Consider the following 25,579-nt stretch of genomic DNA (forward strand, 5'->3'; position numbering starts at 1 on the left):
TCTGCCCAAAAGCTGCTCGATCTGATGAACAACTTCAGCAAAGTTTGAGGATACAAAAGAAATGTACACAAATCAGTAGTATTTCTATACACCAACAACATCCAAGCTAGATGCCAAATCAAGAATGCAATCCCATTCACAACAGCCACAACAACAATAAAAAATACCTAGGAATATATTAACCAAGGAGATGAAAGACCTCTACAATGAGAATAACACAACACTGCTGAAAGAAATCAGAGATGACATAAACAAGCAGAAAAATATTTCATGCTCATGAATAGAAAGAACCAATATTGTTAAAATGGCCATACTGCCCAAAGCAATTTACAGATTCAATGCTATTCCTTTCAAACTACCAATGACATTCTTTATAGAATTAGAAAAAAAAAACTATTCTAAAATTCATATAGAACCAAAAAAAGACCCTGAATAGCCAAAGAAATCCTAAGCAAGAAGAAAAAACCTGGAGACATTACATTACCAGAGTTGAAACTATACTACAAGGCTATAGTAACCAAAATAGCATGGTACTGGTACAAAAACAGACACATGGATGAATGGAACAGAATAGAAAGCCCAGAAATAAAGCTGCACACCTGCAACCATCTGATATCTGACAAAGTTGACAAAAACAAGCAATGGAAAAAGGACTTTCTATTTAATAAACAGTGCTAGGATAACTGGCTAGCCATATGCAGAAGATTGAAATTGAACCCCTTCCTTATACCATATACAAAAATCAACCCAAGATGGATTAAGACTTAAATGCAAAACCTAAAACTGTGAAAACCCTTGAAGGAAACCTAGGAAATACCCTTTAATTTTCTTTAAGATTTATAGTATATAATTTGGCCAAACTCTTAAAGGCCTTCAAATCTCAAGTCTCAGTTCCCTACTATCTTAACCAATTTCCTTCTGGAAATAGATTGAAGTCATCTATAAAGAGTTCACACAGAATCAGTCCATTAAAATAAAGATAAAAACCACAAGTTGTATAATAAAGGCAGAGGAAAATGGGAAAGAAAGTATTACTTTTTAAAAAATCAAAGTCTTTTGGGGGAGTGGGTTGGTAAAATTGAAAAAATAATCTCAGCTTTCTTGTATATTTAGCAAAAAGGACACTGTGATGGATTATATTAACTTCTACAGTGAAATAAAAGTGAATACTACTAGTAGATCATTAGGACAGAGAAACTTTATGCTAGGACTAAATTCTGAGAACAATTTACTGTGTGGCTCTTAACTAGTGATCTTTAACAATAAAATTAATTTTTACAATTATGTGTTTATAGAAACTGCACATTGTAAACCATGTGGCTGGTTAAAAAAATAATAATCAAAACCAGAACAAAAACAAAATACTGATATACATATATATGTATATCCAAACACCATGTTATGTACCTTAAATATATATAATAAAAATAAATTTAAAAACAAATAAAAATTCCCCAAAACTAAAGAGGCTTAAGTAAATAATAAGCCCATTACATCGAGTTCTGGTCCAGGAGATTTTTGACATTGTAGGTAAAGAGTATTTAGACCACATCACAGACTCAGGGTATCAGGCTGTCTGGTCGTAAACTTGAACTCACATCTAAACATTCCATGCCAGCCTCTGCAGTCAGGCAGACGTCCTGATCTACCTCTCTGCCTAGAGGTGTAGGTCCAGAGTGGATCTAACTGAGTTCCTTGCTCTGCCACTTGCTGGCTATGTGATCTTGAAAAACTTGCTTAATTTTTTCTGAGTCTTTGTTGCCTCATCTGTATGGACATGGAAATAATTGCATTATATACCTCAGAAATTGGTGAGGATTGATGTAATTTATACCTATACAGTTCACAAAACAGTGCCAAGTACATCATGAACATTCAGCAAGTGTTTTCCATTATCATCTCGTCTGTATTAGCGCTGTGTGGAAGAATCTTTATTAACCTTTATATGATTAAACAAATACCCTAGAGAAAGAGCCTGCTCACCAAAACATATGTTCTCCTTTTCTGTCTAAGCGTCAGCTGAACCCTGTTTCCCAGTTCTGTCTGAGACTCTGTTGGCCAATAAAATGTGAGAGGGAGTGGCATGTGCCATTTCAGGCCTGACTCATTAAAATCCTCCCACATGTGCTCTTCCGTGTTCCTGGCCCTCTGGAATGCTGATGGCAGAGAACATGGAAGCCACATGTGAAAGATGGCAGAAACTCTGTCAACCTGGCCACCACACCCAACTGTTTGGCTACCTGATTAGTTGTGTCAGGTTGCAAGAAACCAGCTACTGTTGGATAAGTTCCACAATGCATGCCTTGGGTCTGCTATAAGCAGTTTATACAACACTGATGTTGTGGTGAAGAGCTTTAAAAATCGTGCAAGTGAAAAACATCTCAATCCAAGTAAATGCCTCTGTCTTGGGGTATTTGTCCATTTGTCCTCTATTTTGGGCCTTACATATAAATCCTATTTGTTTGCTCTGTTCATGACATCTCTATATGCATGGCAAGGCTCTCCTACTTAGTGATCTGATCGGATTCCAGCTGTATCTTAGTTTTAATTCTATTAAATATGATCACCTATCATTTTTGGTTTAATCCCAGGACTCTTCAAAGCAAAATGGCATTTGCTGCCTAGCCTCAGTTTTATGTAAGAGCATCTCAAACACCAAACACTACCTCCAAAATTTGTTTAGCATTTTTCAAATGATTTGATGACAACAGAGGCATGCATATGTTTGTGACTTTCCTAAGTCATATAGCACAAGGCTGGCTGAACTCAATAAAATGTAAGTTCATAGATTAATTGAGCAAAGTCTACCCTACTCACACCTGCCAGAGCTGAAGTAAGGCATTCTCCTGGGTAACAGAGGAAGATCATAGGTTGGAAAAGGCAAGTATTCCTGAGGGATCACTACTCTTTCTTCTTGGAAGGAAACTTATCTGCTTATCCATGTCCCTTGATTTTCTGCTTTGTTCATTCAACAGGCCTGGCTTTATTTGAGGTGATAGGAGAATCAAGATGTATCATTGCACACAACATTCTCAGGAGAGTCACCAATGCACCTGCCCTTTTTGTGTTTTTACTGAGGAAGCTCTGCATAAGCCACTTTATGGAGCATTCCTGTTTGGGACTGGAATTTTGGAATAAGAAAAAATATATAAGACAAGACCTCAGAAGCACATGGAGTGGGCAAAATTCAGTTCCAATGTAGGAAAAAAACAAAAACAACCTTTGGTCAGGGTCAGAAGTGGATCTTTTCTTTTTTTTTTTTTTTTTTTTTTTTTTGAGACGGAGTCTCGCTCTGTCGCCCAGGCCGGACTGCGGACTGCAGTGGCGCAATCTCGGCTCACTGCAAGCTCCGCTTCCCGGGTTCACGCCATTCTCCTGCCTCAGCCTCCCCAGTAGCTGGGACTACAGGCGCCCGCCACCGCGCCCGGCTAATTTTTTGTATTTTTAGTAGAGACGGGGTTTCACCTTGTTAGCCAGGATGGTCTCGATCTCCTGACCTCATGATCCACCCGCCTCGGCCTCCCAAAGTGGCCCTAGGACTGTTTCTACTAACGACTCAGTCCAACCTGGAATGGGGTGAATTCTGCACCCTCACTGGGGACTCTGGGATTGCTGGAGTGGTCTCAACATGATAATATCTTGGTCAATAGAAGCTTGTTCCATTGCCAGTGCTTTATGCAAGATGAACCAGCACTAGCAGCCAAAGAAAGTAAAGATTGAGCAACAGCCCCTTTCCTTTTCTGTCCCAACTTCCCTTCAGAGCAGCTGCATCCAAGTCCCAGCAGATGTTAGTGTATGTGGGATGACCTTGCAGATGGCTGCATCAGGGCAAATTTCTGAGTTCATGAGTTTCTCTCTCTGTCCCTTCCCTCTCCATCCCTGGTAGCTGACGGTGCTGGAGAGAAAGAGAAGTTTTCAGTGGTAAGGGCAAAACAAGAAACAAGTCATGAGTTTGCTATTTTTGGATGAGTTATTGCTGCATCACACATTGTTCTTAGTAGTCTCAGTATGACACAGCAATTTTTCATCACTTAAATGCAGTTTTAGAATTTTTAATAACACTTTAAATTGCTAATCATAAGACTGAAACTTGATGTCTTCTAATCCGGCAAAATACATTAGTCACTTACCAGCTCTGTAGTAGCTTTTTAAAAAATTCAGGATCTTGGTCATGAGGGCTTAGGATCCAAATCAATTGCTATATAAATCCTTTTGGAAATGTATTCAGTGCTATAACTACACGTGCACTACCATATTCTAGTATTGTCTTTTTAGTTCCAAAATTTAGTTGTTATAGAAATCAAAGATAGTTGTTCCCAGAGTGTCCAAACCATCTAGGCCAACTGTAATTGAAGAAAGACAATATTGTTTGCAGTCTCAGTATGAATGTGGATTCCTTCTCAAATAATCATTTGCGCTTACCTCTTGGGCTTTGTCTGAAGAAAATAAAAGCAATATCACAAAGTATGCTGTACAAACATGTGCATCTCAACATTGTTTAAAATAGGACTCATTGGAAAAAATCTAAGTACCCTACAATGTAATACTGGTTAAAAGAATTAGATTCATAAAATGGGATGCACGGGACCAATTTGAAACAATATTTACTGATATGAAATCATACTTTAAAAGCACCTTAAAGGAAGAGAATAATAGCAAACCAAAACTATATAATTAATTTGTCAAAATAACATATACATACATAGAAAGTTTATTAACATATAATTATATATTCATTAAAAGTCATCTATATTATCATAGAAAAATACTATCTCTACCTTAACAATAATGATTACTTCATGGTAGAATTACAGACTTTTTTTTCTTACATGTGGCATGTGTGTGTGTTTATGGATATGTATTGCTTGTGTCATAATAATAGAGTTATATTAAAATATTATAGATTTTAGGGTAAAAGGGCAGAATAAAGCCAGAGTACAGAAGTCCTCTCACCCAGTAGGTAATACAGTGAATCAAATATTATATAAATAAGTGAAAGTGTTACAAAGTTCACCCAACAACAAAACAAGAAAAGAGGAGGAACCACATGTCACCAAGTTCAAAATGTGGTGATCGAGGCAAACTGTCTGGCATGGAGCTGAATATGGAGACTCCTATCTTTACTCCCATATTACAGTAGCAGAATTGGAGAGATAAAATGCTCAGTGTTCTTATTTAAAATTGTACCTACCACCACCAGGTTAGAAAGGAGCATGCAAGCTGAAGCTGAGAGGATAAGAGAGTTCTTCCAGGATGAGTCAAGGAAAAATCCAGTAGAGAAAAGGCCACACCAACAGAGGCAATAGAAATGGACCAGAGAAAATCCTCTGGAGAGGACTGACATTTTCCAGGACTTCCTGATGAATTTCAGAAAAAATTCAAAGTCCCAGTAGATTCTCTTTTAGGACTAAAATTCTTTCCCAAATAAGTGAAGTGACCTCCTCTGAGGGACGCACATAGACTCTAATGAGCTCTTCCCCACTTCCATTTTCCTCCTACAGACACTTAACCACTGCCATCAGGTTACAGAAAAGTGGATGAAACAGCTAATTTGAGCCTTCAAGGGGGCCAAGTGGCTGAAAGAAATAGATTTGCATGAGTTACTCATCTCAACCAGAAAGAAAATGCAAAGAATTGGCGTGGAAATTGTGACAATATACCACATTTAAAAAATAAAAATCCCTTAAGACTAGTTCTGGAAGGAAACATACCACAAGGAACAAATGAAATTTCCTTTCAAATTCAGCCCACAATAAAAGAGTTTAGTTATTATTATAAGTTGACTAATACAAGAAATCATTGGTGAATTAAGAATGCAAATAACATTATTACAGAAACAGTATCTTAAAAATAACACCCAGGGACAGAATAAATGGTTGAATATCAAATTACTTTTCCAGAGAGACTTGAGATAATTAGAGGAATTGCTAAGAAAAAGTCAATAAAAATTATGGAGATAATAATAAAATTTGATTTCAAAGATAGTCCAAAATAAATCAATAAAAATGTAATTGGACATTTAAAAATAATTAAAAGGGTATAACTGGATAGTTTGTAAAACGAAGGATAAATGCTTGAGGCAATGGATACCCCATTCACCCTGAGGTGATTTTACACATTATATGACTATATCAAGGTATCTCATGTAGCTCATAAATACATACACCTATGTCTCCACAAAAATTAAAAATTAAACAAAAATGAAAACCAGTGTCCATGAAACAGGAAATTCAGTAAGTAAAACAGAAAAAGTATTGAAAGGAATAATGGAATAACACTTTTTTCTGAAACATATATTGACATCTAGAGTTTTTAATGAAGGGTAGTGTGTTTAAGGAAACACATTATCATCATCATCATCAAGCAACCAACACTGAAAAATAGCACGTTTAACTTGTTGAACTTCAAGAATAGAGGAGTAAATTTTCAGGTAACAGAAAAGAAAGCCACGTCTAAGGTGTAAAAACAAAATATGTTGGGGTTTGGTTTCTTAATGCTAACATTAAATGCCAGAAAACAATGGAAAATTCTACCCCTTGGTCTCTGGCCATGAACCTCCCACAGAAAAATGATGATATTTGTTATAACATTTACATTTGGTGCAGCATTTATGGCATGTATATAGCAATAGCACCAACACAAATATGCCTAACATTTGGAGAAGCCAGTACGGGGATAGATTTAAAGAAACAACTGATTTGTCCTGTAAACCCATTATGCACTTTTTTATATCCTTGTGTTAATTTTATTATTCTTTCCCCCCTTGACCTACTGTTATTTGTGTCTTATGATAAGCTTGTGAAGAACTGTTTAACACAGAATTCAGAGGATGATTAGCCAGATCCAGTTCTTCCTCAGGCTAGTAGTTATTGTGCATAAAATAAAAATGGTAATACATAAGCTGTATGTCCTGAAGGAGCTTTAAGTCAATCTCCCAATACATTTTATAATCAATATTAGTATTGTCATAAGTCTTATTACTTAGTGTAATTGAATCTTACCAACAATGCCAGTATTACACAATATTATAGTATGAACATGGTATAATTCAGTTTCATTACAGAATACACAACAAAGTAGTAAGAATTACAGAGGTATTTGCTTTGCCTTCCCAACAGAATCTACAACTGAGGACAAAGCCAATCATCTCATCTCACCTTACAGGCTCAAATCTAGACTGGTTTCCATTGTGTGTTGTTATTATGTAACAGGGCTCTCTTCCCTCCAATGGGGAAGTCATGAGTAGTATTTAGCAAACTATTCTGGGGGCCAGAACTGTCACAAGACATCAGTGTAAATCAAAAGTGCCTCCAAAGAATTTTACATGTTTGGGGAGTCATAAGATTCCCATAGGTGTGCCCCTTGAGCTTCAGGAGCTAGAATAGAGGGCCACTGACTTATGCCCACTTCAGCTTCCATGTGTATTAAAATAATTGAGGCCCTATTGGGTCCAGGCACAAATCCTTTCCCAGTACTGGGTTTTAGCAGTACCCTACGTTATTTATTGAGTCTTCGTGACCCACTTTGCTAAAGCCTCATTATATTTCCAGGGCTAACTCCCATCATTTGCCCTCCTCGTGGAAGAGAACCCTCTCTATTCTAGTTTTCCTCTGACTGCCACTCCTCATTAAAAGCAAACACAGCTTGTCTCAGGATAACTAGACTGACACTTATCACACCAGTGCAGTTAGGATACATGTCTTACACCCCCAGATGTTGGGTCTTCTGTACTAGAGTTAGATGAGAGGTAGTCACTCCTTGATGTACTTTGGTTTGAGTGTGCCATGAGGCCTCCCACAGCGTTTCTTGTCTCTGGGTGGGACTGTTCCCTAAGGGATCCACCAGGTGATGCTCACTGCTTTAATCCCATCAGGGACCCATTGTATTTCTCTATTTTACTTGGTAGTTTTACATCTACAAAACAAGGATGATGTACATTTGTGCATAGCACACAGTGACATGTTGGGCTGGCTGCTGTTACGATTTGCCCATTTTAATCAGATACATTTCTAGGCATTTGGTTACACAGCGATCAGTCTGTTGGGAGCTACAACATCACAGAGTTTGAAGTCCCAGTAGGAAGAAGTTCTCAGAAATTCCCTCCCAAATAATGTCTACCTTTTGAGGTACAGGTAGCCTGAGAAGTAGGAGTCCAAGGCATTGGCATATTATTAAAGTTTCATTTAGTTATTAACAGCTTGTCCAGTTTCCCATCATATCGTATGACCAGAATGTCTCTTAGTGATGTCAGTCAGGTTTGTAGACTGCTGTTCAACCTTGCCAGTTTCCAAAAACTAGGCCTTGGCAAACATATAGCTTCATTTTCTTGGACATCTGGTATAATTGTGCTGAAATACAATATTATTCTCTTGCTCTGAGCTTCATAATGTTGGATTTCTCTGGTTGCATAACCCAATTATTTATTCTTTTACTCCAAACTACTATTTCTCCCTCTCCTCATGTGTTATTTATTTTTATCCACACTTTTTCTAATATCCTTGGGAGAGGACATTAGGTTTGGCCACTATGCTGGCCCAGATTGCTAGTAGCAGTACCAGTGTAGCAAGGGCTTCTCCATCAGTCTACCCCCAACCATATGGGGCAGGGTTACATAGGTATGGAATTAGTGAGATATACCTGACCACTTGGCATCACAGTAACATTCACTGTTAACCCCAACTTTGCCAGATGGGGTGAAGGCACAATCTACTCTATTAGGCCCTTAGGAATTTTGACACAATGGTCTAAAGGTATATTACAGCTTCTTGCTTAAAATGCAACCCTGCTTCTGGCACCCACAGTTGCATTCCTGTCCCTGGGATGACTGATACCAAATTTTGAAGAAGAAATGTGACTTAAAATAGTGTAAGTAGATAACTTGTCAACTGAAATATAAAGGCAATTGTCAGACAATTTCAACATACAAATAAAAGGAAGAAAAGAATATCTATAATTTTTCTCCAAAAATACTTGATGACAAAGAGCAGCCAACAGAAATATAAGTGGAAAAGATTCAAGGAAAGGAGCACACAGTACTAAGAGACAATGGAGAGCCATGTCTGCAAAATTCTCTGGGAAAGGAAGTTATACTAAAAAACAAATGGTTCTTTGATATATCGTCAAAGCTAGACATTTACAAGAAACATTACCTTGCTGCATGAGATGGGTGTGAGCCTTTCTAAAAAAAAAAAAAAAGGAAAAAAAGAACACAACTGATGATGGAATCAAGCCCACCAAGAAGTAAATATCTTTAAAAAATCAGGGATGGAGAGGCTGATGCTGATGTAAAAGGAGTGGTGGTGATAATTGAGAACATTTAAGTATAGAATAAAGATTAATGGTGGGAAATATATTAACGAGATAGAATGTAAGTGTTATGAACCTTGACACATTTTAAAGCAACAGTATAGCTGACAAAATCTTGAAGAATGGAGGCTCAAATAAATGGGGAGCCAACATACCATAGCACATTTGTTACAGTATGGACTCTGGATCCAGACCACCTCTCTTTGATTCTCTACTCTGTCATTTTTTTTTTAACTTTTATTTTAAGTTCAGGGGTACATATGCAGGTTTGTTACATAGGTAAACTTGTGTCATGGGAGTTTGTTGTACAGATTATTTCATCACCCAGTTATTAAGCCTAGTAACCATTAGTTATTTTTCCTAATCCTCTCCCTCCTCCCAACCTCCACCCTCCAAAAATCTCCAGTGTGTGTTGTTCCCCTCTATGTGTCCATGTGTTCTCATCATTTAGCTCCCATATATAAGTGAGAAAATGTGGTATTTGGTTTTCTGTTCCTGCGTCAGTTTCCTCAGGATAATGGCTGTTTTCTAGCTTTGAATTTGTCAGAAAGTCAGTTAATCTTTCTGTACCTCAGTTTCATATTTTTCCCAAGACTGGAGAAAATCTTGCCCAAAAAGATCATGGTGATGATCTTCAAAATTTTGTCATTCTTTGACTCATTCTCTGACCTACCTTCTCAACCACTACACTTGGATATCAAGAATTCAGATAACACTCAACATGTTCACTAGCAACCTCTAGAATTTACCCCTCAAACCTAATCCTCTGCATATCTGTAAATGTAGGCCAAATTTTTTTGTAATTATGCTTGGCCTTTTTGTCTTTCTCAAACATCTCACATCTAATCCATCAGCAAATTCTGTCAGCTCTACTTTCAAAACACATCTAAAACCCAACTGCTTCTCACCATCTTAACTGCTAGCACCCAAGTCCCAGTCTCCCTCACCTTTCCCATGTGAGTGTGGTAGCCCTAACTGGTCTCCACACTTCCTCACTTGCTTCCATTTTAGTCTAGTCTCAATCCATTAGTTAAAATGCTTACTATAAAAAGTCAGGTAATTTCATTCTGTTGCGCTAAATGGCTTCCCATCTCACTCAGAATAAAATCCAAAGTCAATACTACAGCCACGATACCTCCATAATTGTTCTGACTCACCTGCCCTCTGTCTGTTCTGCTTATTGCTCTCTAGCCACACTGGCCTTTTTCTGATTCTGAAACATGTTGAAGCGTTTCCACTAGCTGCTCCACCAGCCTGAAATGATCTTCCAGATATCTAAATAGCATCATGATCACATTTCATTCACATGTCTGCTCAGATTACATTTACTCAGAAAGGTTTTTTTTTAATTTTTAATTTTTGTGAGTATATAATAGGTACATACTCACAAAAGTAGGTATATACTTATGGGGTACAAGAGATATTTTGATACAGGCATACATTGTGTAATAGTCATATCAGGGTAAACGGGGTATAATCTCCTCTAGCATTTATTCTTTCTTTGTGTTAAAAACAATCCAATGGCAATCCTTTAGTTACTTTAAAATGTTAAATAAATTAATTTGACTGTAATCATCCTGCTGCGCTATGAAATACTAAATCTTACTAATCCTAACTATATTTTTGTACCCATTAACCATCCCCCATTCCCCTGTACTGCCCTTTCCAGATGCTGGTAAACATTACTCTATTCTTTATCTCCATGAGTTTAACTGTTTTAATTTTTAGCTCCCACAAATAAGTGTGAACATATGAAGTTTGTCTTTCTGAGCCTGGCTTATTTCACATAACATAAAGACCTCCAGTTCCAACCATTTTATTGCAAATGACAGGATCTCATTATTTTTGATGGCTAAACAACACTCCATTGTGGTACATGTACCACATTTTCTTTATCCATTTGTCTGTTGATGGACACTTAGATTGCTTCCAAATCTTGGCTATGGTGAACAGTGCCGCAATAAACGTGGGAGTGCAGATATCTCTTTGATAGACTGATTTCCTTTCTTTTGAGTATATACCTAGCAGTAGGATTTCTGGATCATAAGGTAGCTCTATTTTTAATTATTTTTAGGAGCCTCCAAAATGTTCTTCATAGTGATTGTACTAATTTATATTCCTACCAACAGTGTGTGAGTTCTTTTTCTCCACATTCTTGCCAGTATTTGTTATTGTCTGTCTTTTGGATAAAAGCCATAACTAGGGTAAGATGATATCTCATTGAGGTTTTGATTTGCATTTTTGTGATGGTTAATGATGTTGAGCACTTTTTCGTATACCTGTTTGTCATTTGTATGTCTTCTTTTGAGAAATAGTTATTCATATTTTTGCCCATTTTTAAAATTGAATTATTAGATTTTTTTCCTATAGAATTGTCAGCTTTTCATATATTCTAGTTATTCATCTATTGTCAAGTAGATAGTTTTAGAATATTCTTTCCCATTATATGGATTGTCTCTTTATTGATTATTTCCTTTGCTGTGAAGAAGCTTTTTAGCTTGATGTGATCCAATTTGTCCATTTTTTCTTTGGCTGGCTGTGTTTGTGGGGTATTACTCAAGAAATCTTTGTCCAGTCCCATGTCTGGAGAGAGTCCTCAATGGTTTCTTGTAGTAGCTTCATAGTGTGAGATCTTAGATTTAAGTCTTTAATCCATTTTGATTTGATTTTTGTACAGGTCAAGAAGTGAGGTCTAGTTTCATTCTTCTGCATCTAGATATCCGCTTTTCCCAGCACTATTTATTAAAGAGACTGTCTTTTCCCCAATATATGTCTTTTCTTTTGGCACCTTTATAAAAAATGAGTTCATTGTAGGTGTATGCATTTATTTCTGGGTTCTCTATTATGTTCCATTGGCCTATGTGTCTGTTTTTATGCCAGAACCATGCCATTTTGTTTACTATAATTTTGTACTATAATTTGAAGTCAGGTAATGTGATTAGTTCAGTTTTTTTTTTTTTTTTTTTTCTCAAGATAGGTTTGGCTATTCTGGGTCTTCTGTGGTTCCATATAAATTTTAGGATTGTTTTTTCCATTTCTCCAAAGAATGTCATTGCTATTTTGATAGAGATTGCTTTAAACCTGTAGACTGCTTTAGGTAGTATGGATATTTTAACAATATTGATTCTTCAAATCCATGAACATGAAAAACCTTTCCATTTTTTTGTGTCCTCTTCAATTTCTTTCATTAATGTTTTATAGTTTTCATTGGAAAGATCTTTTACTTCCTTGGCTAAGTTTATTCCTAGGTATTTTATTTTATTTGTAACTATTGTAAATGGGGTTCCTTTCTTGATTTCTTTTTTTTGATTGTTTGCTGTTAACATATAGAAATACTACTAATTTTTTTATCTATATTGATTTGGTATCCAGCAACTTTACTAAATTTGTTTATTAGTTCTAATAGTTTTTTGGTAGAGTATTTAGGTTTTTCCAAATATAAGATCATATAGTCTATAAACAAGGATAATTTGACTTCTCCTTTTCCAATTTGGATGCCCTTTATTTCTTTCTCTTGTCTTGTTGCTCTACCTAGGACTTCTAGTAGTATGTTAAATAATGGTGGTAAAAGTGATCATCCTTGTCATGTTCTGGATCTTAGAGGAAAGGGTTTTAGTTTTCCCCCATTTAGTATGATGCTAACAGTAGGTCTGTCATATTTGGCTTTTATTGTGTTGAGGTATGTTCCTTCTATACCCAGTTTATTGGTGACTTTTTTATCCTAAGGGGATATTGAGTTTTATCAAATGTTTTCTTAGCATCAGTTGAAATGTTCATATGGCTTTTGTCCTTCGTTCTGCTGGTATGATGTATCACATTGATTGATTTACATATGTTGAACCATCCTTGCATCCCTGGGATTAATCTTGCTGGGTCATGATAAATGATCTGTTTAATGTGTTTTGGAATTCAGTTTCCTAATATTTTGTTGAGGATGTTTACATCAGTGTTCATCAGGGATATTGACCTAGTTTTCTTTTATTGAGATGTCTTTGTCTGTTTTGGTGTCAAGGTAATACTGGCCTCATAGAATGAGTTTGGAAGTATCCCCTCCTCTATTTTTCAGAATAATTTGAGTGGGATTGGTATTAGTTCTTCTTTTAATGTTTGGTAAAATTTAGCAGTGAAGCCACTGGGTCCTGGGCTTCTCTTTGCTGAGTAACTTTTTATTACATCTTCAATATTGTTATTTATTATTGCACTGCTCCAGTTTTGAATTTCTTCATGGTTCAGTCTTGGTAGGTTGTATGTGTCTAGGAATTTATCTATTTCTTTTAGGTTTTCCAATTTATTGCCATATAGTTGTTCATAGTAGCCTCTAGTGATCCTTTGAATTTCTGCAGCATCACTTGGAATGTCTCTTTTTTCATCCCTGATTTTATTTATTTTGGTCTTCTTTTTTTCTTTGTCTAGCTGAAGGTTTGTCAGTTTTGTCAACCTTCTCAAAAAAAAAAGAAAACTTTTTGTTTCATTGATCTTTGTTTTTTTTTTCTTCATTTCAATTTCTTTTATTCTGCGTCAATCTTTATTATTTATTTTCTTGTACTAGTTTTGGGTTTGGTTTGCTCTTGTTTTTCTAGTTCTTTAAGATGCCCAATTAGGTTGTTTATATGAAGTCTTTACTTTTTTGATGTAGGAGCTTATAGCTATAAACTTTCCTCTTAGTACTGCTTTTGATGCATCTCATAGCTCTTACATCATGTTTCCATTATTATTTGTTTCAAGAAATTTTAAAGTTTCTTTATTGACCACTGGTACTTTAGGAGTATATTATTTAATTTCCATGTGTTTGTATGGTTTTCAAAATTCCTCTTGCTATCGATTTCTAGTTTCATTTTATTGTGGTCAGAGAAGGCACTTGATAGAATTTCATTTTTTTTTTGAATGTTTAAAGATTTGTTTTGTGGCCTAATATATGGTCCATCCTTTAGAATGATCCATGAACTGAAGAGAAGAATGTATATTCTGCAGCTCCTGGATGAAATGTCTTGTAAATACCTATTAGATCCATTTAGTTTATAGCACAGATTAAGTCTGATGTTTGTTGATGATCTGTCTGGATAATCTGTCCAAAGCTGAAAGTATGTCGTCAAAGTCTCTAGCTAATATTATATTGGTCTCTCTCTACCTCTAATAACATTTTCTTTTATATATGGGTGCTCCAGTGATGTATATATATATTTACAATTGGTATATTCTCTTGCTGATTGGATCTCTTTGTCATTATATAGTGACTTTGTCTCTTTTCATAGTTTTTGTTTTGAAGTCTATTTTGCCTGACATAAGTGTAGCTACTCCTGCTCTTTTCTGGTTTCCATTTGCTTGGATTATTTCTTTTCATGCCTTTATTTTTGGTCTACTTATGTCTGTAGGTAAGTGTGTTTCTTGTAGGCAACAAATCATTGGGTCTTTTTCAAAAATCCATTTAGCCACTCTATGTTTTTTGATTGGATAGTTTAGTTTAGTCCATTTACATTATTATTATTGATAAGTAGAACTTACTCCTGCCATTTTGTTATTTGTTTTCTGATTGTTTTGTGATCTTCTCTTCCTTCTTTCCTTCTTCCTGTCTTCCTTCTATTTAAGGTGTTTTTTGCTGGTGGTATGTTTTAATTTCTTGCTTTTTATTTTTTTTGTGTATATGTTGTGTTTTTTGACTTGGGGCTACCATGAGGCTTCCAAATACTATCTTATAACCTATTATTTTAAATTTATGACAATGCTATTGCATAAGTAAACAAATAAGCAAAGAAAAACTAATAAAACCTCTACACTTTAAATTCATCCCCTGCTTTTTAAGTTTTTGTTGTTTCTATTTACATATTATTGCACTCTGTATGTCATGAAAAGTGATTTTAGTTATTTTTGATCAGTTCATCTCTTAGTCTTTCTACTCAAATTATGAGTAGTTTATATACCATGATTACGGTGTTATAATATTCTGTTTTTTTATACGTACTTGGTATTAACAGCAAAAAGTATTGCATATTCACATGATTTCTTTTTTTTTTTTTTTTTTTTGAGTTGGAGTTTAGCTGTTGTTTCACAGGCTGGAGTGCAATGGCGCGATCTAGGCTCACCGCAACCTCCACCTCCCAGGTTCAAGTGATTCTCCTGCCTCAGCTTCCCGAGTAGCTGGGATTACAGGCATGTGCCACCATGCCCAGCTAATTTTGTATTTTTAGTAGAGATGGGGTTTCTCCATGTTGGTCAGACTGGTCTTGAACTCCCAACCTCAGGTGATCCATCTACCTTGGCCCCCCAAACTGCTGGGATTACAGCCATGAACCGCTGCACCTGGCCATTCACATGATTTCTTATTGATCATTAACATACTTTTCTTTCAGATTGAAGAACTTCCTTTACCATGTTTTTGCAGGACATGTCTGGTGTTAATGAGATTCCTCAGCTTTTGTTTGCTTGGGAAAGTTTTTATTTCTGCTTCATGTTTTGAAGGATATTTTCACAGGATATACTTTTCTAGGATAGAAGTTTTTTCATTCAGCACTTTAAATATGTCATTCCAATCTCTCCTGACAATAAGGTTTCCACTGAAAAGTCTCCTGCCAGATATATAGAAACTCCATTGTATGGTATTTGTTTCCTTTTTCTTGGCTGCTTTTAGGATCCTTTCTTTATCTTTGAACTTGGGGAGTTTGATTATTAAATGTCTTGAGATAATCTTTGGATTAAATCTGCTTGGTGTTCTATAACCTTCTTATACTTGAATATTGATATCTTTCTCTAGGTTTGGAAAGTTCTCTGTTATTATCCCTTTGAATAATTTTTTTACCTTGATCTCTCACTTTCTATCCTCTTTAAGGCAATAACTCTTAGATTTGCCCTTTTGAGACTATTTTCTAGATCTTGTAGTCATGCTTCACTCTTTTTAAATTTTTTATTTTGTCTTCTCTGACTGTGCATTTTCAGATAGCCTGTCTTCAAGCTCACTAATTCTTTCTTCTGCTTGAGAATTCTGCTATTAAGAGACTCTGATGTATTCTTCAGAATGTCTATTGCATTTTTAACTCCAGAATTTCTACTTGATTCTTTTTAATTATTTCAATCTTATTGTTAAATTTATCTGATAGGATTCCAAATTCCTTATCAGTGTTATTTTGAATTGCATGGCGTTTGCTCAAGATAGCTATTTTGAATTCTCTTTCTGAATGGTCACATATCTCTGTATCTTCAGTATTGGTCCCTGGTGCCCTATTTAGTTTATTTAGTGAGGTCATGTTTCCTGCATGGTCTTGATGCTCATCAGTGTGTGGGCCTTGAACAGTTAAGTATTTATGGTAGTCTTCACAATTTGGGCTTGTTTGTACCCGTCCTTCCCCAGAAGGCTTTTCAGGTATTCAAAGGGACTTGAGTATTGTAATCTGTTTTTGGCCACTGCAAATGTATATGCACTAGGAGACATCACAAGTCCAGTAACACTATTGCTCTTGCAGACACCTAGAGGTACCACCTTGGTAGTCTTGGATAAGATACCAAAGAATTATCACAGAGACTCTTTTTCTCTCCTTTTACTTTCTCCCAAACAGAGTCTCTCTTTCTGTGCTGAGCTGTCTGGAGCTGTAGGAGGAGTGACACAAGCACCCCTGTGGCCACCACCACTGGGACTGTGCTGGGTTAGATCTGAAGCCAGCACAATACTGGGTCTTACTCGAAGCCTACGGTAATCATTCCCTGGCTACCACCTATGTTCACGCAAGGCCCTAGGGCTCTACAATCAGTAGGTGGAAAAGATAGCCAGGCTTGTGTCTTTCCCTTCAGGGTAGCAAGTTTCTCCCAGCCAGGCTGAGTCCAGACATGCCATCTGAGAGCCAGGGCTGGAAAGCAAGTACCACCTGGGCACTGCTGATGTTTGCCCAAGGTCCAAGGGCTCTTCGATCAGTTTGCGGTAAATGTTGCTAGGCTTGGAACTTTCCCTTCAGAACAGTGGGCTCCCCTGTAGCCCAGGGAAGGTCCAGAAATACCATCCAAGAGCAATGGCCTGGAATAGAGGACCTCAAGTGCTCTACCCCACTGTGCTTGGGCTGGTACCTAAGCTGCAAAACAAAGTCCCTTTTGCTTTTTCTTCTCCTTTTCTTAAGTAGTAGGAGTTTATCTCCATAGACACCGCAATTTGGAATGTGTTGGGTCACACCTGAAGCCAGCACATGTCTCAGTCTCATCCAAGGCCTGCAGAGAGTACTAGCTAGGTACCGTTGTTGATTATTGAGGGTCTAAGGGCTCTTTAGTCAGCATGTGATGACTCCTGCCAAGAATAGGTTCTTCTTTTCCTGCTAAGGCAGTGGATTCCCTTCTGACCCAGGGTTTGTCTAGAAATGTCATCTGGGAGCTAGGACCTGAAATCTGGGCCTCACAACTGTGCATGTTTTCTGATTCTACTGTGGCTGAGCTGGTATCCAAGTTGTAAGACAAAGTACTCTTCTCTCTTCTCTCCTCAACTGGAGGGAAGTAGTCTTTCTTGGAGCTGTGAGCTGCTCTCCCTGGGGTTGGGGAATGGGTGGCACAAAGTCTACCTTGGCTACCCCAGTTGGTGTCTCACTAGTTTTCATGCCCCTCAAGTCCACTGGCTCCAACCCTGGCACAGCACCAGGACTTGCCCAGTAATTGCTATCCTTATGGGCCAGACTGCTTTTCAAGTTTCTTTAGGATCCCAGAGCCCTTTAGCCTGAGGGAGTGGGGTTTCCTGAAACTCAGGTTCCCACCACTGGGATAAACAATGACCTTCTGGCTAAGAATGATCTAAACGCTCCCTTCATCAGCACCAGTTGAGTTCTGCCCAGTATTGTTTTCTGCTGTGACAGGGCATCTCTGAGTTACAGTGCAAAGTCCCACAGTCACTGCATTCTCCCTCCCTCAAGTGCACACATTCTCTCTCTGTGCCATATGGCCGCTGCCAGGAAACAGGAGAGATGTGGTGTATCAGTCCATTTTCATATTGCTATAAAGAACTGCCCAATTCTGGGTAATTTAAAAAGGAAATAGAGTTAATTAATTCACAGTTCAGCATGGCTGGGGAGCCTCAGGCATCATGGTGGAAGGCTAAGGGGAAGCAAGGCCCCTTCTTCACAAGGCAGCAGGAAGGAGAAGTGCTGAGCGAAGGGGGAAGAGCCCCTTTTAAAACCATCAGATCTCGTGAGAACTCACTCAGTATCATGAGAATAGCATGGGGGAAACCGCCCCCATGATCCAATTACCTCCACCTGGTCTCTCCCTTGACATGTGGGGATTATGGGAATTATAATTCAAGATGAGATTTGGGTGGGGACACAAAGCCTAACCACATCAGGTGGTGATGGCAATTCAAGACTGTCTTTGCTACCTCTTCAGTGTTTCTCTCAATGATATTTAAAATCAGGTACTGGTTTCAATGATATTTAAAACCAGATACTGGATTCAATGATATTTAAAACCAGGTGCTGGTTTCAATGATATTTAAAACCAGGTGCTGGTTTCAATGATATTTAAAACCAGGTGCTGGTTTCAATGATATTTAAAACCAGGTGCTGGTTTCAATGATATTTAAAACCAGGTACTGTGATTGCTCACCTGATTTTTGTTTTTTATGAAGGTGCTTTTTTGTGTGTGGGTAGTTGTTCAGTTTAGTTTTCCTGAGGGAGTGAAGAATGATGAAAGTTTCTTTTTCGCTATCTTGCTCCACTCTCCATCCAGAAAGTTTTTTCTTGATTCAAAACAAAAAAGCACCCAATTTTCATTCTCTATCTTTATCCTACATATTTATTTCATAAAATATACCACTGCTTGCTATAATTTGTATACATTACATTTAATATGTTTATGTCTCTGTGTTTTCCAAATATATATTGTGCAAATTACATTTTTATATACATCTATATGTAAATGAAATATATTTGGTAACTTATCATCTCTGTGAGTGCACACACACACACATACACACACTAGAATGTAAACTATGAGAAGAGGAACTTTTTTCTTCAGTGTTATAATACCTATACTTAGCACAGTGCCTGGTGTATAGTGAGTATCTTCACTAAATATTTATTTAAAGAATATTCAGTTAAGGGAAATCAAAGATATCCATTGAATATTCACATAGCTAATAAAATACATTGTTAAGCTAATAGCAACTATTTTAAATCAAAACAATAACAACAGATACACAGTTCATCCTCATAGCTTTGTGGATGTGAAAAATGAGACCCAGAGAGGTTAAATACTTTACCAAGGGCAGTCATGAGGTGTAGTAGGGGGCATGGACTTTGGAATCAGGCAGAAATAGAATTAACTGTTTCTCGGCTGAGTGACCTTAGGAAATTAATTTATCATCATTGGCCCTTTATTTTCTAATACGAATATTTTATATTTTAAACTTGAAGAATGATCAAAATAATTAACAGCAATAACTAATGTGAAATAAGGTGTTAAATAGGATTTTTCCGTTGCTATAGAATTGGAACAGGAATCCACAAATGAAAACAAAGAAGAGTTAAGGACCCCACTGTAAAGAGAGAAAGCAATATATTTCTTACTCCCAGCCCCAGCCAGCACTTTCTAAATGGCAGAGCCAGCCCAGCCACCACTGACATAAGCATCCTTTACTTCCCAGAGTGGTAGAGAGGACTCAGAAAAGGGAAGGCCATTCGGGGCATGGGCCTGGAGGGAAATTTAGTGTTACTAATGAAAGATTTTTACCTTACCACCCTGTGATGGAAGAGAAGAGGTTCTCCTACCCAAGTGATAAAAAAAGACCCCTCCCAAATCATAGACATTGGGGATGTCTGCAAGGAGAGGGAAACTGACGTCTACTCCCTGGCTGGATGCTCATTGAGCTGTGAAATCTTTAGGCCAATTATTTTGACTTGGTTTAGCTAAGTAGACTATAGTGAAGGAATTCTGCATTATCTGGAGTTGTCAGTTTTGCATTTAAGGCACTAAAGACTGCTGTTCTTCCAGATATTTTAGGAGATTCAAAACTTGCTGGTGTAGACCACACCAGCCTGAGAAGGATAGCACGACTTTTCTGATCTCCACAACACAGGGAAGACCTCAGGGGTTCCTTTGGCTCCATATGAAGGAGAACAGAGTTCACAGGTGATTCCAAGTTAACCAAGTGGCCATCACACAACACAAACAGTGCTTACCAGGAGGGAAGGGCAGAAGGAAGCATTCTGCTTTCCGAGATGGTCAAGAAACAGTGAGCTGTATGCCATCTCAGAAAAACCACAAATCTAGTTTTTCTAGACACAATCTAGTTTGAGACGGCATGTCAGCAGAGACCACCAGCATCAATGGAACCAGACCAAATCAGAGAATACCAGAGATGCTGCTACACCACTGATGTGGGTGGTTATAACTGAAGATTCCTTCAGCATTGCTTCTTGCTTGGTGAAAAAAAATATATATTTCTTCCTCCTCTTGTCACCCTTCTCCTTTTCCGCCCTCTCTGCTTTCTACCCTCTGCCTCTTCCTTTCTCTCTCTCCTTTCCCTACTCTCCCTCCTCTTCCATCACTATTACTACCATTCTTCTTCCTCTTCTCCTCCTTCTCTCCCTCTTCCTTCTCCTGTACTCTCCTCCCTCCTTGTCCTCCTCCTCTCTACCTTCTTCTCCTCCTCCTTTCTTCTTCTCATCTTTAATTCAAATATATTAGAAAGAGAGAATGTCAAAGAATGATGTATAAAGAGTTGAGTAAAAGTTTATTTGCGAATGTGTGTTGGGGCTAAGGAGCAAGACTTGGCAGGGAAGAAGGTGGTAAGAAGGCAGAATAGACACTGCTGACACTGCAGCAAGTCTTATAGTGGATGACTGTCAAGCCAATCCAAATATTTTAGACTCCAGCTGTATGAACAGATGTTCCCAAATTGGTGAACTGTTTACATTTAACAGAGGACATTTAATCTTTCAAGAGACTCTGATCTAAGGTTGTCTTCTTTTAAAAGTTAATATGTCTGTCATAAGACTTTATTCCTAGTAGCAAATATTTAAAGCAACACTTTTTAAAGAAAGTAGAAACTGGTATGATGGTGTGTGCTTGCAGTGCCGGCTACTCAGGAGCCTGATGAGGGAGGGTCACTTGAGCACAGGATTTTGAGTCTACCCTGGGTAACACAGTGATACCTCATCTCTTAAACAAACAGAAAAACAAAAAACGAAAGTAAGAAAGTTGTGGAAAATTGCAATTTAAAATTATAATTTCTTAGTAAACATATTAGAGACTGAAGTTATTTTGATAATATTTTTTTCCAAAATCATACATGATAGATGTGTCAGTCAGTTTCACACTGCTATAAAGAACTTCCTGAGACTGGGTAATTTAAAAAGAAAAGAAGTTTAATTGACTCACAGTTCCACATGGCTAGGGAGGCCTCAGGAAATTCACAATCATGGCAGAAGAGGAAGCAGGCACATCTTACATGGCAACAGGCAAGAGAGAGCCTGTGAAGGAGGAACTGTCAAACACTTATAAAACCATCAGATCTTGTCAGAACTCACTCACTATCGTGAGAACAACATAGGGGAAACCATCCCCATGGTTCAATCACCTCCCACCAGGTCCCTCCCTTGACATGTGGGGATTATGGGGATTACAATATGAGATGAGATTTGGGTGGGGACACAGAGCCAAACCATAGCAATAGGATATGGAGTTATATAGTAGACTTAATTTTTTAAAGTAAGTTTTTAAAATTCTGAATAATGCAGTGTAACTTTTTGTAACTCTAGCATAAAGATACCTCTGTATGTATTTATGCAACAAATTAGATAATCTCATAATTCACTGAGCGTAAAAGATGAACAATATGCCACATTCTAGATCGTCTATATAGCCACGGCTATATAGACAAAAGCAGATAGAAGGTTTAGAAAAACGTTTGGATCAAAATGCCAAAGACTTAACTAAGTACCATATTATATGAGAATCAAAGGAAGAGATAGTTTTGTGATCTGAATTATTTGGATTGATTGCACAAAGTGACAACCAGAAAAAAAGAACAGAAAAACAATAAAATTATTCTTAGATGAAAATTTTATTAGCTTCTCTTTCCTCTACTCTAGTGTAATATTTTCTTCATTTTACACACACTTTAAAATTCATCTAAGAAGAAAATATAAGATTTACATATAATTCAGATACTTTTTCTTATGAGCTAGAGAGGCCAAAGAAACAAACCAACAAACCAAAAAACAATCCCTTCCATTAAACCCCTGAGTAAAAGTCAGGAAGTTGATCATATGCGATGATGTGACACCTCTTAATCACGGAGAAAGGACATTGATGAATAATCAGCAGGATAGCAAAGGTGTAGTGCAGTCACTGATAGGACATCAGCAGTTACTCCTGGGAAAGTGTAAGAAATTTTAAGGAACAGCAGAAAAGAATGAAGGACTCAGCTCCCTAACAGAATCAGAGAATTCATAGGCTCAGATAAAGGTGACTCGTTTCTGTATTTCTATGTCAGAAATATACAGGAGCTCATCCCCCCAAAAGTGAAGCAGTCTATAGTCACAAATTTTATTTTGGAAAAATGAAACAAAACCAGAGAAAAACTTAGAGCATCTTTACACAAGCTTTTTTTTTTCAAGTGCTTTTTGTTATTCTAATGGATCCTATATTCAAAACATTCCAAGATAATCAGTGTCTCTCTGCAGGAAACCCTGCTGATTTTAGGGAAATGATTAATAATCGGTCACTTTCTCTGCCCCTTTCAGCTTCTCTTAAGTTTAGTGAGGAAGCTTAAAGAATTCTTACACCTCCCCCTGCTGGCAGCAAACAAGAAGTGCAGGTTTGGTACGTAAAACACGTTCACACTGAAAATAATGGCTAAGATCAACTTTTGATTCTAAAAACAAGATTCTTTCCATCTGTAATCCGTGAAAAAGTTTGAAACATGAATTTAAAACATGAAAAGTAATAATAAAGTTTTGGGAAGTACTGCTTTTCAGAAGTCAAACAATGAGTATTATGTTAAAATATTTAATTCAACAGCATTCCTTCAAAAATTTATATTTCTGAAATCTGACTCCAGAAATGACTTTGTTGTGACCTTTACGTCTTTTCAACTGTGTCTCTACTTGCTGCCATTCTCTCTATAGATCCCATTATTATCCGTCGCGGAGACAGGAGGTTCGTCAATCACTTAATCTGCTCCCCTGCACTTTCCAACTCCCTTGCTGTTCTTGCTTCTGGGCGGTACTGATGGGTCACTTACGGGTCCACACACGGAGGACCCAGCCCATGATCCCCATCTGCCTCTGCTGCGGCAGGTACTGCAGATGTTCCAGAGAGTGGAGTGTCCATCAACCTAGATGCTTGAGAGCCTATGTTGAGCAGGGGCCTCTGTGTGTTCCTCCCCTCATTGACCTACAGCTGAATTTGAGTGAGAACTACCTGTTAGGTGTTAAGCAATTGAGAGTTCATTTGTCCTGAAAATAACAACGTAGCTGATGACTTTAGAATGTAAACCAAAACATATCTGATACAAGTCTAAATCAATTTACAAAGTTTATTTTGCCAAGGTTAAGGAGGCACACCCCTGACACAGTTTCAGAAGGTCCTCACAACATGTGCCCAAGGGGTTCAGGGCACGGCTTGCTTTCATACATTTTAGGGAGACGTGAGACATCAATCTATATGTCTAAGATGTACGTTGGTTTGGTCTGGAAAGACAGGGCAACTCGAAGTGGGGCAGGGGCTTCCAGGTCATAGGTAAATAACAGACAAATGGTTACATTCTTGTAAGTTTCTGATTAGCCTGTCACTGAATATACGATTTACAGGAATAGTCACTTATGCCTTAGTCTGGCTTAGTGAAACAATAGGGCAAAGGAAGCAATCAGATATGCATTTGTCTCACGTGAGCAGAAAGATGACTGAGTTCTGTCTGTCCTTTATCCACAAGGAGTTTCTTTGCAGACAAAGTGGGAGAGAGGTATTTATCTTTTTAATCTTTGTAGCTGTTTTATTTAGGAGTAGAATGGGAGGCAGATTTGTCTGCAGTACTTAGCTTGACTTTTCCCTTTGTTAGTGATATGGGGGTTGCAAGATTTATTTTCCTTTCACAGGTATATTTGCACCTTTCACAAGAACATTAAGAACAATCCTGAGCATTCTTCATGTCTCGTTTGATCCTTACCACTGCCCTCTGCAGTACTTTATATAGATGTTATTAGCCACATTTTGTATGTGACAAAACTCTGGCAAAGGTAGATTAGATGCATTGTTCCAGGTCACACGGGCAAGAAGTGATGGAACCAGGAATCAACTCAGATTCCAAATTTCCTCAATTTTTATTTCGACTTTACATTGTCTCATAAAACAAAATTCACAATTATGTAAGATTAATTACATCAAGTTGAACATCATCACTTTGTTTAAAAAGTTATAGGGGCAAATACATTTAACACACAAAAAATTATTAAGTCTACTTTGTTGAAAGCACTACTGTAAGCATTGCAAGATATACAAACAAGTATGAGATGTAGTCCTTATCTTCACAGAAATTACACTCATGCTTGGAAGCCCAGTCAAAGAAACATGGAAAGCTCAAGAGCAATATAGAAAACTTTACAAATAGTCCCTGACTAGTTGTCAAGTTAGCTTTTCACACATTAGGTGATCAGTAAATGTTTGCTGGGGAGAAGGCAGAGGACAGATCACGAAAGAAGGGTGGAGAAGAATGGTGAAGAAGGTGAGTGATGGGATTATAGTGCAGCTTCCCATCCTATAAGAGAGTCAGGCAAGGCTCCATGGAGCAGGTGTGGTTTAGCATAAACTTAATGGATGGGTAGGGTTGTATTCAATTGTATTGAATGATGGGCAGGTTTTATCATTGCCACCAAATTATGAAGGGCCCTGTGATGGTTAATTTTATGTGTCAACTTGGTTGGGCCATGAAATGCCCAGATTATATGTGACTTTGGGGGTGTATCTGTGAGGGTGCTTGTGAGATTAACATTTGAATAAGTGGCCTCGGTAGGTTGCCACCCCCAATGTGGGTGGGAATCATCAACCCCTTAAGAGCCCGAATATAAGAAAAGGTGGAGAAAGGAAGAATTCATCCCTTTTGTTCTGCCTCACTACTTGAGTAGGACATCCCATCTCCTCTTCTACCCTTGAACCGGTATTTACACCATTCATTCTCAGACTAAAACTGAATTACACCATTGGCTTTCCTGGGTCCCCAGCTTGCAGAATGCAGATTGTGGCAATTCTTAGCCTCCATATGACATGAGCCAATGCCTCATAATAAATCTCCTTTTTATATACAGATAGATAG

At 37.6% G+C, this 25,579-nt stretch overlaps 1 long non-coding RNA gene across 1 annotated transcript in view, besides 1 other annotated feature; it reads left to right on the forward strand.

Moving 5' to 3' along the window:
• Positions 1-25,579, forward strand: part of OBI1-AS1 (OBI1 antisense RNA 1) — a 562,471-nt gene that overhangs the window by 43,764 nt on the left and 493,128 nt on the right. The gene's annotated exons all lie outside the window — the stretch shown is intronic.
• Positions 3,238-4,437: an enhancer, noted in NCBI's record as "P300/CBP strongly-dependent group 1 enhancer chr13:78675991-78677190 (GRCh37/hg19 assembly coordinates)". NCBI's record gives its function as "activates an origin of replication core promoter dependent on BRD2, BRD4, P300/CBP, MED14 and CDK7 cofactors, with strong dependence on P300/CBP, by STARR-seq in HCT116 cells {active_cell/tissue: HCT116}" and the evidence as "EXISTENCE:reporter gene assay evidence [ECO:0000049][PMID:35650434]".

The sequence above is a fragment of the Homo sapiens genome, chromosome 13 (assembly GCF_000001405.40).
Source record: "Homo sapiens chromosome 13, GRCh38.p14 Primary Assembly".
Lineage (NCBI taxonomy): Eukaryota > Metazoa > Chordata > Mammalia > Primates > Hominidae > Homo > Homo sapiens.